Source organism: Homo sapiens, chromosome 16 (assembly GCF_000001405.40).
Source record: "Homo sapiens chromosome 16, GRCh38.p14 Primary Assembly".
NCBI classification, from domain to species: Eukaryota; Metazoa; Chordata; class Mammalia; order Primates; family Hominidae; genus Homo; species Homo sapiens.
Genome location: NC_000016.10, coordinates 71186452 through 71202139, shown reverse-complemented (window position 1 = coordinate 71202139; position 15688 = coordinate 71186452). Strand labels below are relative to the sequence as shown.

Here is a 15688-nt window from a genome sequence, read left to right as displayed (position 1 = left end):
CTCACTTTGTGCTCCTGAAATCCTACCAGTCTTTCAGACTCTGGTGTTGACAGAATCAAAGGCATATAAGATAGAAGTTATTATATTTTAGTAAGGCAAACATGGCTTTAAAATAGCTTGTCTGCCATGTTTAAATTAGCATATTTGACAAATTGAGAAAGACCATCAAAAACTGCTTTTGCAAGTTACAGTCTAGATGGTTATTCAAGTTATTCATGCAATGATACATTACAAATAATAGATGGACTGCAATTATTTATAAGGAATTCACTTTGTCAAGATACTATGGTCACAGCATACAGCTCAGATGACACTTGTGTCAAAAAACATTGACTGGCTCAGATGACTCAGAAGTTCGTGGCTGGATCTAAGAATTCAAATGATGGCCTAAGAAGTCAGTCTGTTGGCACTGCTGTCATTTGTGTGGCTTTGTTCTCAGACAGCCTCTCCCCTCCTAGGGGCAAAATGGCTGCCAGCAGCTTCAGGCTCAAATCCCGATTTCAGCACCTCAATACAAAGAAAGCATTGCCTCTCTTGCAGCAGTTCACCCCAAAATCAGAATTAAGCCTCATTGGCTTTGGTGGGCTTGGCTTGGGTCATGTGCTGTGTTCTGAACCATATAGCTAGGGAGGTGCAATACTGGGATAGGCCACTCCTGGATTGGAGTGAGGGGTTTCCTTAGGGAAACCCATGACATTGTTTCCAGCAAGAGGTTGGGGGGATGGATGCAGGATAGTAAAAACCAATAAATATCTGCGAAATTATTCTTTTTTTAAATGAAGATATCTTTGAGAAGGAAAATGTAATGAACAGATCAGTGATTCAGCTGTCAATCCAGTCATTCAACAAATATTTATTGACTCTATGCCAATCACTATGCAAGGCATGTATAACAGCAATGAACAAGCTGGTTGAGATCTCTGACCTCCTGAAGCTTGCTCTCTGGTAGGGAAGGAAGACATAAAAATTTAGTTACATATTTATATCTTATGTGAAAAGTGCATTGCTGTGAGGACATATAAGAAGGGGATGTCAGAGAGGTCAAGGGTCTAGGAAGCCTTCAGAGAAAGGATTTCTAGATTAAGTGCTGTTTCAGCTGAGATCTGTGGGATGAGTCTAAGCATGGACAAGGGAACAGGGTGGAAGAAGAAAGTTCCAGGCATTTTACCCTTAAACAGTTTGATCAAAGGAAACAGGGAGAGCCCAGACAGAGGAGGGAGAGAGTGTACCAATTGGGTTAATGGACTTAGAATGAGAGGCTGGATGTTTCAGAGATAAGTACTTTGCCTTTCCCCAGGGTGTCTGAGGGTGTTCATGATAGTGAGTTTCCCAGTCTAGATCCATGCATGGATCAAGACTCTTTCTGAAAGAAGATCAGTAGCCCAGGCTTGAATTTGATAAAGTTCAGAGAACCTCAATTTTAATGTATTTTCAAAAACATGTATTGTTCTTTTGTGTTCTTCAAGTGAGAAGGGTCTGGAAAATGTGCCCTTTCTTGCTTGGTAGATAAATAAAAAATTCACTTTTGGCCACTGTAATTCAGCCATTCAGTGTTGATATACTAAATGTCCATCTCAGGTAACAGGAATTGTATCTCAGCCTGATACCTAAAATGAAGCAATCAAGATGGCAAGACTTCAGCTGTACAAGTCTTGGATTAGGTGGCATGAATGGATGATCCAGGTTAATTTCAGAAACCTAAGCCATGCTCTCAGTAGACTTTTACTAGTCCTGGGCACTTCCTGTGTTACTGGAAAGGGGTCCCGATCCAGACCCCAAGAGAGGGTTCTGGGATCTTGTGCAAGAAGGAATTCAGGGCAAGTCCATAGAGTAAACTGAAAGCAAGTTTATTAGGAAAGTAAAGGAATAAAAGAATGGCTACTCCATAGACAGAGCAGCCCCGAGGGCTGCTGGTTGCCCATTTTTATGGGTTATTTCTTTGATGATTTGCTAAACAAGGGGCAGATTATTCATGCCTCCCCTTTTTAGACCATATACGGTAACTTCCTGATGTTGTCATGGCATTTTTAAACTGTCATGGCGCTGTTGGGAGTGTAGCAGTGAAGACGACCAGAGGTCATTCTCGTGGCCATCTTGGTTTTGGTGGGCTTTAGCCGGCTTCTTTACTGCAAACTGTTTTATTAGCAAGGTCTTTATGACCTGTATCTTGTGCTGACCTCCTGTCTCATCCTGTGACTTAGACTGCCTTAACTGTCTGAGAATGCAGCCCAGTAGGTCTCAGCCTCATTTTACCCAGCTCCTACTCAAGATGGAGTTGCTCTGGTTCACACGCCTCTGACACTTGTATTGTGCTTCATACAATTTGCCATTTTGTCTTCAAATTTTTTTAAAAAAATTCCTTTTCTGAATTGGAAAGTTCTTTAGGCATAGATTAATATCTGTCCCTGTATACCATCTTCACGTTATGAATGAGAGATTTCTGCTTCTGATAATGGTAGGCTAGGTAATTCAGGCCCACCCCTCTCCTGAAGGTGACTAGAAAGGCTGGACAGATTATAAACCAAAGCTTGCTTCAAGGCTTTAGAAGGCTTACAAGATGGTGAAGGATTACCAGGCCAAGTCTAGGGGAGGGTAGAGGCCCAGGGAGGTGAACCCCAAAATTGGAGCCCCTTCTTTCCCTGAGAGCACATGAAAATTTCAAGGAAGAGCTGTGAGACTTAAGTGGATGGGCAGCCTTTTGGGGATAATGCAACAGGGATTGATGACCAGAGCCTGCCAAGGATAGAGGGAGCCTAGTGAACCCCCATCTCTTTGGGTTTCTATTTCAAAGGGCTGCTTCAAAGGAGTAGGGATAAACTGGAAGTAGGCCCATGAAGCCATTTGAAATGCAAAAACAAGCTGTAGAGTGGGAAAAGATATTTGTAAAAACATTTAACTGACAAAGGGCTTCTATTTAAAATATTTAAAGGACTTCTGCACATCAGTAAGAAAAAGATAACCTAATAGAAAAAAGCCAAGAGACTTGAACACTTCACAAGGCTTTTCACAAAAGAGGAGATCCAAATGACCAACAAATGTATGAAAAGATACGCCGTCTCATTAGTAATCAGGGAAATGCAAATTAAAACCACAATGAGCTATCATGACACATCCACCAGATAGCTAAAATTAAGATTGTCAATAACAAGTGCTTGCAAGTTTGGATGGCAACCAGATCTCTCATATACTGCTGATGGGAGTATAAATAGGTACAACCACTTTGGAAAACTATTCAGTCTCAACTACTATAGCTTAAGATATGCATACTATGAAGGAGATTCACTGTGCACCGATTACCAACTTGTCTGAGTTTGTTAAGACAGAACACTCACATACAACAGATCACATGAAGTGAGTTTATTACAAGGGACAGCAGAAACCCAGGAACCCAGAAACCCAGGATTCATTGCAATCCAGTCCCCCAAGTTTCAGGAAATATCATCTCCATCCCAAGGCAGATGGAGTCTCACTTTGCACCACAGCTGAGGGACCCTGGAAAGTAGCCCTCCCTGGTTTTTATACCCTGGAATAATATGACTCACTGGGCTAAAGCATTGAAAGACATCCTGTTCTGGCGGGGGGCTAGTAGAACAGAGCCCAGACAGTTCCAGCCATTCCCTTTCCATCTCAGGATGTTGCATTCCTAGCATATTCTACAGTTATTCTTCACAACTACAAGCAAGAGATGGGGGAGGACAGAGTCAGTCCAAGACCACACAGAGAGCCTATCCTGCACATACTCTATGATCTAGCAGTTTCTTTCCTAGATATAGACTCTGATTACCTTTGTGCATGGAAAGACATTTGCAAAAATGTTCATAGCATCATAGAATAATAGGAAACAACCTCAAGTTGGAAACAACCCAAATGTTAATTGGTGGTAGAATGGATAAATAAATTGCAGTAAATTCAAATGGTGGATTATTATACACAAAATGGACTACAGCTGTATATAATAAAATAGATACATTAGAGTTAAATAATCTAGACACAAAACGTACATAATATGTGATTCCATTCATCTAGATATTAAAAGCCAGGCAAAAGTATAATGTTAAGGGATGCATGCTTAAGTCATAAAAGAGAATTAAGGGGCCGGGCTCTGTGGCTCACGCCTGTAATCCCAGCACTTTGGGAGACTGAGGCGGGCAGATCACTTGAGGTCAGGAGTTTGAGACCAGCTGGCCAACATGGTGAAACCCCATCTCCACTAAAAATACAAAAATTAGCTAGGTATGGTGGCAGATGCCTGTAATCCCAGCTAGTCGGGAGGCTGAGGCATGAGAATTGCGTGAACCTGGGAGGTGGAGGTTGCAGTGAGCCAAGATGGCACCACTGCACTCCAGCCGGGGTGGGTAAGACTCTGTCTCAAACAAACAAACAAACAAACAAAGAGAATCAAATCAAGGAAAGTGATTTCTACAAAAAGTGAGGATAGTGGTTACCTTTAATGGGGAGAGAGCGTCTACGGGTGAGAGGGGTCTTCTGGGGTGTTGGCAGTGCTCTGTTTCTTAACCTCGGTGATTATTATACAGGTGTTCACTTTGTAATAATTCTTTATGTGAGGCACTTTTCTGTATGCACATTATATTTCACAATAAAATCTTTTAAAAGGTGATATCACTTTATCTCTTATCTACCTCATTGAAACTGAAATTAAAATTTATCACCTGCTCAATCAAACTGTAACAATGCTTTTCACTTAGAGATGTGAACCAAGCCTGAATGTTGGCAGATATGCAGAGTCAAGGTCAAAATTCTGTTGGATTTCTAGGTGCTTATTACCATATGCTAGTAACCGTATCACTGAGTTTCATCTTTACTCCTCAAAAACAATATGTTTTTATTTAGAATTAATTAACATAGTTCTTTGCATATAGTAGATACTGTACTATTTTAAGTCAGGGTTTTCTAGGGAAACAGAACAAATAGCATATCCATATCTGTGTTTATATCTATATCTAGGAAGACATTTACGATAAGGTATTGATTTGTGGGATTATGGAGGCTGAGAAGTCCCACAATATGTTTTTGGAAAGGGGTCCCAATCCAGACCCCAAGAGAGGGTTCTTGGATTTCACACAAGAAAGAATTCAGGTCAAGTCCACAGAATAAAGTGAAAGCAAGCTTATTAGGAAAGTAAAGGGATAAAGAATGGCTACCCCATAGGCAGAGCACCCCTGAGGGCTGCTGGTTACCCATTTTTATGTTTATTTATTGATTATATGCTAAACAAGGGGTGGATTATTCATGCCTCCCCTTTTTAGACCATATAGGGTAACTTCCTGACATTGACATGGCATTTGTAAACTTTCATGGCACTGGTGGAAGTGTAGCAGTGAGGACAACCAGAGGTCACTCTCATCACCATCTTGGTTTTGGTGGGTTTTAGCTGGCTTTATTTACTGCAGCCTGTTTTATCAGCAAGGTCTTTATGACCTGTATCTTGTGCTGACCTTCTATCTCGTCCTGTGACTTAGAATGCCTAACTGGCTGGGAATGAAGCCTAGGAGGTCTCAGCCTCATTTTACCTAGCCCCTATTCAGCATGGAGTTACCCTGGTTCAAACTCCCCTAACAAATATACTATCTGCAAGGTGAAGATCCAGGAAAGCTGATGGTGTGGTTTGAAGGCCTGAGAGCTGGAGAGCCAATGGTGTAGATTCCAGTTTGCATCTGTAGGCCTGAGAACCATGAGCACTGAGGGCAAGAGATTGATATCTCAGCTCAAGCAGTCAGGCAGGGAGGGTAAATCCTCCCTTCCTCCAACTTTTTGTTCTATTGAGGCACTCAGTTAATTGGATGCTGCTCACTCATATTGGGGATGGCAATGAACTTTACACAGCCCATTGATTCAAATGCTAATCTCTTCCAGAAACATCTAGATAGACATGCCCAGAAATAATGTTTAGCTGGATATCTGGGCATCTCGTGTCCCAGTCAAGTTGACACATAAAATTGCCTTTCACATCTACTACTTATTAAATTGAAAAATAAGATAATTGAATTTCCTTGTGACAAAAGTAGTCTGTTTTGAAACTATAATACTTGTAGATTCTTGGTATGAGTCATGAAAATGATGTAAATTGGGGCTCACAAATAATAAGCACTTTTTGCAACCATACCTTTCTCTGTTTCTGTTTTTTCCTTCTTCCTACATGGTCCTTAGTTGGCTATTTGATTTTTTTCTTTGCCTGTGTCTGACCTGGAAACTTCTACAGTTTGAACAAGTTTCCAGTACCTGATACTTTCCCATGGAGAAGCAGTTCATTTTGTAATTTGAGGCTTTGGAAAAACTCCTTTTCATTATACATCTGCATTTTCCTTTTCTTTAACATGGGTCAAATAAGTGAATTCTTAATGGAATCTGTCTTTCTTTTATCTACCTAAGATATAAGAAGGCACATATCCTGCAGAGACAGATTGTTTTTAAGAAGCTTTTCAAGGGGAAGAGAGCAGAGGCCAATGTGAAACCTATAAAACCTGAAATAATCCAGTTTTAAAAAGATCAAATAAATAGAAAACCATAGCACACAACAGCTTTAGAGACAGTAGAAAGCTAGAAGATGAAGCAGGATTAAAAAGTGAAAATTAATCCTTATACTCAGTGAATGCCTAGAAAACCCCCCACTGACAACCAAAGTCATACGGTATTTGAGTATTTTCCTTGTTTTTAATTTGATATTTTCTTGTGAAAATGGTGTTTGGGGGTAAAAATAATATTTATCAACATTCCAGAGTATAGTAGCCCTTGCCCTCACTGTAGCAGAAGCCAAAGTTGAAGACATGTGAACAGTTTTATGCATTCACATTTACTTCCAGAAAGCAAAGTTAATTGCATAGAATTCCTTTCGCTTTAGTTTTTTCTTTTCTTTTTTTTTTTTTTAAACCAAACTTTCTGCTAACAATAACACCAGTAACAATTACGTGCCAGGCACTGTGCAAAGTGAAGTCTTTTACAAACATTATCTCATTTAATCTTCTTAATAAATGCATGAGATGGATGTGATAGATGGATTCCAAGATGGCTCCAAGTTATTATCACTTTCTGGTATTTACATTCATGTAAATGTGTGGCCTATTTCACATTGAATAGGGCTGATCTGTGTGACTAATAGATGTTGTGCAAGTGACAGTGTGTGACTTCTGGGTCAAAAAGAACACTGTAGCTTCTCCCATCGTCTCTTGGCTTGCTTACCCTGGAGGTAGCCAGTCATCATGCTTTGAGGACACTCAAGCAGCCATGTTAAAGGACTTGTGAGAGGAGGAACTGAGTCCTTCCACCAACAGTCAGAACCAATTTGCTGGTCATAAGCCATCTTGGAAGTGGATTCTCCAACCTTAGTCAACCCTTCAGATGACTGTAGACCTGGCTGTATCTTTGACTACAATCTCATGAGAGACTCCAAGCCAGAATCACGTAGCCAAACTTCTTTTGAATTCTTGAATCATGGAAACTATGATAAATAAGTAGTGTTTATTATTGTTGTTTTTAACATTAAGTTTTGGGGCAATTTGTTAGATGCCAATAGGTAATTGTTAGAGTAGGCTCACTCTTTTTATTGTTATCTCCATTATTTAGTGAGGAAACTGAGGCTAAAAAAGATTTAAACCTAGGTCTGATGACCCCAAGCCTTTGGTCTTAATGGAAATAAGTTTCTCAGAGTTTTGGTTTATTACTGCTAACAGCTCTTTCTGAGAGGAAAACAAAAATTATTTTATTTTATTTTTGGGACGGAGTCTCACTCTGTTGCTGGGCTGGAGTGCAGTGGTGCGATCTTGGCTCACTGCAACCTCCGCCTCCCTGGTTCAAGCGATTCTCCTGCCTCAGCCCCCTGAGTAGCTGGGATTACAGGCCCGTGCCACCACGCCCAGCTAATTTTTGTATTTTTAGTAGAGATGGGGTTTAACCACATTTGCCACAATGGTCTCGATCTCCTGACCTTGTGATCTACCTGCCTCAGCCTCCCAAAGTGCTGGGATTACAGGCGCGAGCCACTGCACCCGGCCCAAAAATTATTTTTTTAAAACTGGGGGAAAACATTTTTATCAAGCAATGTTTATATTTATTTAAGTGTGTTAAAGGATCTGGGCTACTGTAACGCATGTGTAAATAGAAGAGGCAGTGTTTGACATTAAAGTTCTTTGAGATTTGTTTACATTTTACATGTTGTGTATTGGGTAGAAAGGATTTTAACTTGTTCAAAGATTTAACTGGGAGCAAAAAAATTTTTGCTGGCTTTTCTGCAAAGAAGGGAGGGGCTTGGGAATAGAAGATGGCAGAAAAAAAGTATAGGAAATGAGTTTTTTGAGACATTTAAGATAAAGAAAAAGCAAAGAGAGATGATAGAGATGGGGGTGAGGGTATGATTATGGTGATCATGATAGTTATTAATGTGACACGTACACGTCCCTGCAGCATCTGGAAGCATTCACTAATTTAATAATATACATTATGAGATTCTGCTTTACAAGGCTGCAGTCTACTCTAAATTTGAACTCTTTTAGACTCAGCTCCTTATGAGTTCCTAGAGGTGAACAGAACTCAATTCCCTACAGAAAAGGAATTTTGTGCCTAAGGATGTCTACTCTAAAACGTTTCTTTTTTTTTCTGTCTTTTAGAATTCAATGGTGCAAATCTATAAAGACAGAGCTTTAATGGCAAACCCTATTCTGTCTGGTTCTCCTTCCTAAGAGTTAGCTGAGAATATATTTGTCTAACTTTTCTTTTTAATATTCTCTGAAAGAAGACATTACATCACACATACTGAACTCTTACTTAACCTGGACTCTGTTAAGTAGAAACATTGGAAGGAGCCAAAGACTGACATTTTAAATTAAGAAAAACAAACCAAATGAGCGAAATAGTTCCTCTGAGAAGTGTTTTGGCCTAGTGAAAATTCTCTTTTAATAAATGCAATTTAATATTCCTTCAACAATTATTTACTGAGCTCCTTGTATGTGCCAATTACACATGATCCCTATAGGCAAGAAGCTTACATTCTGGAGTTAGAAACAGGCTTGTAAGCAAATAATTACAATGCACTGTATTTGATGCATTTAATTAGAGGGGCATATGCAAAGGACAGAGTTATGGCACTCCTCGAGTGCACTAGAGAAAGCCTTCCTTCTGCAGATTCTTGAGATGGGTTTTGTAGGATGAACAGAAGTTTGCTAGGCAGATGGGGATCAGGATGTGAGAGGAAAGGATGAGCCTGTTAGAGGTATGAAATAGGCTGGCATATTTGGAGATTTGGGAAAAGTCATTATGATGGATGGATTAATTAATTAATTAACCACATTTATTAGATTAGTATATGTATGAGGCCCTGTACAGGGTGCTGGGAATACAGTGATTAAAAAGACAAAGTTCCTGTCCTCAAAAAACTTAAGAGTCCGGTGAGGGAGAGAGATAGATCAATAACCATGATAGGAGTGAGCACGAGGACCTGTGAGATCATAAGGAAGGGGCAGCCTTGGGAGTCATTCACAGCTTTCTGAAAGAGGTGACAGCTGAATCTGGAAAGACAAATGGGAATTAGCTGCCATGGGGTGGGAGAGCAAGAAAGGCATTCCTGGTGTTACATGTGAGTCTGTGGTGTGTGAGCACAGGACACATTCTGAACTGCTGGTAGAGCATCAAGTGTAAGATAGGCAAATTCCAGGGATGAACAGCATGCTAAGGAGTGTGGAGAGTGTTCCGGACGAAACGATTTTAGGCAGAGAAATGGCATGACCAAATTTTCCCTTTGGAAAGGTCACTGTGGCTGCAGCGTGGAGAATGGCTGGGGTATGGGAAAGGCATGATTCTGGAGTTGGATAGGTCAGTTAAGTGTTGCAGTTACCCAGGCAAGATGTGGTAGTGACATTAACGAAGGAGGGGCAGCAGGGATGGAAAAGAGTGGTGAATTTGTGAGATACTAAGGAGGTAGAGTCACAAGCAAGGTGAGGGCAGAATCATGTCATGATCAAAAGTGTGGACTCTGGGACCATAATGACTGGTTCTATTCCGGGCTCTATGCTTTGCTACTGTGTGAACTGGGGCAGGTTACTTACCTCCTCTGTGCCTCAGTTTCCTTATCTGTGATATGGGAAGGGTAATAATACCTTCATCTAGGGTTGCTGTGGGGATTAAAGTAACTAAAACATATAATGCTTGGAACATTGTCAGGCACATAGTAAGTAGTCCACAAGTATGTGTTATATGGTTAATTTGAGGAAAGAGAAGTCATAGGTGATGCCTACACTTGGGATATGGGCAATTGTGTGAATGATAATTCATTCACAGAGGGAATATAGGAGAAAGCAGAGCTGGGGGAACATGCTGAGCTTGAGGTGCCTGTGGACACCCTAAGTGGAAGCATCTTGTAGGCAGCTGGGTCGGTGGAGCTGGAAATCAGAAGAGATCTGAGTGGGATAAACCCTCTAGAATGGCAGGAAGAGAAATAGCTGCCGGGAAGAGAGCTAATAAAGGAAACAGATGAGGTGGTCTAAGGGGCCCAGCAGAGGCTGCAGACACTGAATTTGCAAGGTTGTGAGTCTAGGCTGCTGTGTGGTTTTCTCTGGCAGTCCTAACAGCCTGGGTGTAGTAGAGGACTGGAACAGCTGGATTGACCAGTGTTAGGGTTTTGCTGGTTATAACAGCCTTTTCTTAAATTTTTCAATTTTTTTTTTAAGTTCTGGGGTACATGTCCAGGATACACAGGTTTGTTACCTAGGTAAACGCAAACACGCGCATTTTTTCCTGTAGTATTTTAAAGTATATCTCAGACAATATTTATTTTTACCTGTAAATAATTCACTAAATATCAGATAATAACTTTTACAAAAAATCAGACCCATAATGCTGTTATCCTTCTCAACAAAACAAACGATGATTTTAAAAACTATTTTATGTTTATTGACATACTTAGCAAATAACAACAACAATAGCAACACTAATTTTTTGGAATGGGTATAGTTTGATAGGAGTATTAGTTAATGAATTTAAAATAAAAATGTTTAATCTGATGAGCAGTAATTATTTTATATCATCCATTATTCAGTTTTTAAAATCATAATCCAAACAAGGTCTACTCTTGTATTTGGTTGGTGTAAGACTCTTTTAATTCGTAACTTCTCTCTCTCCTTCCCTTCTTTTCTCCTTCTCACCCTTCTCTCCTGCTCCTCTCTCTTTCATGCTATGTTTATTGTGAATAAACTGAGTCATTTTCCTATAACATTTTTCACATCCTGGATTTAGATTAATTGTATTCTTACAGAACATACATGTTCCTCTTTCCCTCTATCTCCTGCAATTGGGCTGGTAGGTCGGAGGCTTAGATTTCTGTCAATAACACTACATAAGTGGTGCTGTGTACTGCGTCACATCAGGAGGCACATAATGCCTGTGTTTTACTCTTTTAGTGTTAAGATTAATTTAGAGGACTCCGGTGTTGTCAGCCTGATTGAGCCATTGTCAGGTTCTTCAGCAACATCTTACCTAATTATTTTAGCACTGAAGATCCTTCATTTCATTAGGGGCTGCAAAATGGTAATTATTTTTCTGTGATTTTTCTGCATTTATTAGTTGGAATTCTTTTATAAAGAGTAATTTTCTTTCATCAACTATTTGGTTAACCAACAATGCAATTTATACTAAAATAGTGCAAAATAAATGGTTCTTTCCTTTTATTATTTCCAAAATAATTAGTTTGGTGCTTTAGCAACTTCCAAAGGTGACCAATTATTTTTTTAAAGTATCATTTAAATTTAGATTTAAAAGAACGGATCTATTGCCGACTTTTTTTTTTTTATGCTCAAATTGTCTCATCTTTGGTTAATGGGAATGCTTTCAAGTTGCTCTGGATCCCTGACAACCCTGGTAGCTCTTGATAACGTTCTTGTTTTATGGTATGAGACAATGTGCCAAGTTCACTGTATACATTTTGTACCCTTGTCCTCAAATTACCCATTTCTCCAAGGAGTTGTGATTTCTGTTAGTGGTAAATGGTGTTTGAATACTACAATCCAGGTCTCTGCGCTGTCATTGCCACCGGACTTTCATTGCTTATGGGCTTTTTCAGTGGGCAGATTATTTAAAAAGAGAAAATCATCGCAAGCTTGTATTTATTTTCAATTTAAATGTTAAGATTATAGGGTTTCTTAATATAAAAACTTTTCTTCGTTTATACTTTTAAAAATACTGAAATGCTTGGTTCCTAACTATATTGATGTAGCTACTTATTTGTTTTAAAAATATTATTACTAATATCATGACCAACAGCAAGACTACTGGATAAATGATAAGATTTCTCGGCTCTTCTCTGTGTTTTGACAGCATATCTCATTGAGAATACAGTCAAAATATTGTTGTTTGTTTTTTTTTTTTTTTTGAGGCAGAGTCTTGCTGTGTTGCCCAGGCTAGAGTGTAGTGGCGCCATCACGGCTCACTGCAACCTCCACTCCTCAGGTTCAAGTGATTCTCCTGCCTCAGCCTCCTGAGTAATTGGGACTACAGGCACGTGCCACTATGCCTAGCTAATTTTTTGTATTTTTAGTAGAGGCAGGGTTTCACTGTGTTAGCCAGGATGGTCTCAATCTCCTGACCGCGTGATCCGCCTGCCTCGGCCTCCCAAAGTGCTGAGATTACGGGTGTGAGCCACTACGCCCAGCCAAAAATATTATGTTTTAAGGTTGGTTGGAATAATTGTTTTCTCTCTGTGGTTATGACACCAGCTGGATGTACAGCAAGGTTCATTTGTTTCAGTTTCTTTTTTATTTTTAAGAATTGATTTTCCCGTTTCTTTTTTCATTTTTGATATGTAAAACACTTACATGGTTCAAAATCAACACTGTATAGTGAGGTACATTCAGAGAAATCTCTCTTTCATTCCTATCTCCTCTACCCTGTTCCTTTACTCCTTCTGTAGGTAACCACTGTTACTGGTTTATGTATCGTTTCATATTTTAGCTAGTGTATCATTTGGATAGATTCCTAGAATAGGGATTGCTGAGTCAGATGTACATGCATATGTAACTTTGCTAGATATTTTATAACACCATATTTTTAGCTCTTTGTAACTGTAATCATATAATCAAAAAGGATAATGTAGTTTCTTCCTTTCATGAATTTTTACTTTGTTGTCCTTTAATAGAAGACTTTAAAATTTCCAGGAGAATGGACCTTCCTGTTTCTTTGTTTTGTTTTTAAGTTTCTAGCTTTGTTGTATTATGATCAGACTGTTGCTTCTAATATTTCTAGATTATAGAACCACTGGTATTTTCTTTGGTATTATACTTTTAATATATAACCAAATTTTTGTCACCATTCTATTTGCTATTGAGGAGGCATATTTTCTATTACTAGGATGTAGTGTTTGATACATATTCCTAAACCTATTTAATGTGTTATGTCATTCAAATCTTTTATGGTCTTACTTATTTTTTGTCCACCTAACAGGTCTTACTAAGAGTAGTTTATTAAAATCTCCTGTTATTTGTGTATTTGTTTTTCCTTGCATCTCCCATAATTTCTGCTTTATATGGATGGTTTTTGTGCTATTTTGGTGCATAGATAATAATAACTGTTACATCATCATTTTGAATTATGGTGTTTCACACTCTAAAATATTCTTCTTTGTGTTGTTAATGATTTTTTAAAAATCTGTCTTAAAATCAAGACCACAATCTTTGCTTTTTTATTGCTTCTGTTGTTGTCACTACCCAGCTGTGATAGAATGGGCTCCCCAACCAAAATTTGGTTTGGATGTCAAGATTGGTGATGCCACTCATGCGCCTAGAAGATATGAAAAGGTTATGGTTCACATAATGAGGCTTTCTGTGAGAGCAGGGCAGGCTCCCAAACAGGTTCAAAAATAGCTTGAATCCAGTAGTGCCAGCTGCTTGGGAGGCCTAGGTTGGAGGATTGCTTGAGCCTAGGTGTTCAAGACCAGCCTGGTCAACATAGCAAAAACCTAGGGCGGGGGGAAAAAGATAGAAATCCTCTTCTTGGGAAGAAGTATTTAAAAAAAATAAATAACTTGAGAATAGGGAAAAGATACTGGTTTGGCTTTTATTGTGGTTAAGGGTGGGGCTATAATAATAGTTCTTACGCAGTCTGGGCCTTGTGTTGTTTGAACTTTCCACTGGAACCAAAGGAAGGAACACCTGAGCTTTCTTATCAGCTTGTCCAAAGGTAGGGCAATATTAGTTTCATTCCATTACTTTATTCTCTTCTTAAGGAGCTCCAATTATAGCATGGTGGATCTTCCTTGACTGTCTTCTGTTTCATTGATTGCCATCTTAGAGGCTTTCTGCCATAATGACCCCTTTTTCCTTTTTTAAAATTTCATATTCATTTCCTTGGGTGTTTTACTGCTTTATTTCAGTGTGCCTTATTACATTTTCCTTCAAATCTACTTTCCTTTATATAGCTCTTCTTCCTATGTCTTGGTCTGGTACTTCCTTACTGTCTTGTGAGGTTTTTGTTTGTTTGTTTGTTTGTTTGTTTTTAATGGTTTTAGGGTTTTTAATTTGATATTTTATCAATAATTTTTAGTTCTCTTTTTTAGCACAATGATTGGATAACCTAGCCTGCTATCAATAAAAATAGAAATCCCTACCTAGTCATAGATGGTTTTCTGAAGTTGCAAGTGTTCTACCAGAAGTCTGAGCAAGAATATGCAAAAGGGAGATGCCATATTTCTTTGATTCAGAGATATTGGGTGGCTATTCACTGGCTTATTTATGACTATAAGCTTTAAAACTTTTCCCAGAACTTTCCTTTGCCTGTCTTATCTCATGCTATTTCGAATCTCTGTCCAGCTGTGAAGCCCTGTAACCTTGTATTTATTCTGTTTGAAGGGTCGATTCTCCTAAGAGAGCGCTTTCAAATATGTAGATAAATTATCAAACTATTTAGTATGTTTATTGGGCAGTGTTTGTTTTTCTCATTGGGAAGATAAAAGGGGCAAAATGTAGAAGTAACTTGTACTTCCATGTCTTCCTGAGCTTAGTCTAGAATCCCTTATTTTGTCTAAAATAGATTCTAGATCTTGGGAGAAGGATAAATCTAGTTATATGGAATAGAATCCTTTGTTGAGATATTTGTTCCAAGCATTTGGATTTCGGAAGATCAGTATTTTCTAAACCTTCCTGTATTTGAAAAAGCTTAAAAAAAATTATGACCTGTATTCAGGAATTAACTGTATTTGTTCTAAGACATTTTTGTTTCACTCTTAGGTGAGAAAAAAAAATTACTAAAAATGACAAGTAGAAGACTTGAGGAGTCCATGGGGGCTGTTCAGATGGGATTGGTCAATATGTTCAAAGGATTTCAAAGCAAGGTTTTGCCACCCCTGAGTCCAAAGGTGGTTACAGAAGAAGAAGTAAACCGAATGGTAATGTATCCGGGAATTAATATGTAAAATACTTAATGCAATCTCCTTAGGAGAATGACAGTTGCTACTTGGCATTCTCAGAATGCCAAACAGAATTACTGACTGATTAATATCAATTTAGTTATAATGGTAGCTTTCTGCAGAGTGTAGATACCTTTTAAAGCCTGAGAAGTTTTGAAATTGCATACATACTTCAAAGTAGAGGCTTGATTTGCTTAAACTAATCAGTTGAAGTGAGACTTTACAAATGAACTATTAAGATTTTCTAAATATTAGGTAGCACCATGACAAACTGTCATTTGTTTAGTT

General features: G+C 38.7%; 1 protein-coding gene across 4 annotated transcripts in view; it reads left to right on the top strand.

Annotated features, from left to right (window-relative positions):
• The window catches only part of HYDIN (HYDIN axonemal central pair apparatus protein), a 428639-nt gene that overhangs the window by 28583 nt on the left and 384368 nt on the right, over positions 1 to 15688 (top strand). For all 4 annotated transcript variants that reach the window (NM_001270974.2, NM_017558.5, NM_001198543.1 and 1 more), the window contains exon 2: positions 15222 to 15379. In NM_001270974.2, the coding sequence (NP_001257903.1) occupies positions 15245 to 15379 (135 nt within the window). In that variant the 5' untranslated portion in view covers positions 15222 to 15244. The remainder of the gene's footprint in view (positions 1 to 15221; positions 15380 to 15688) is intronic.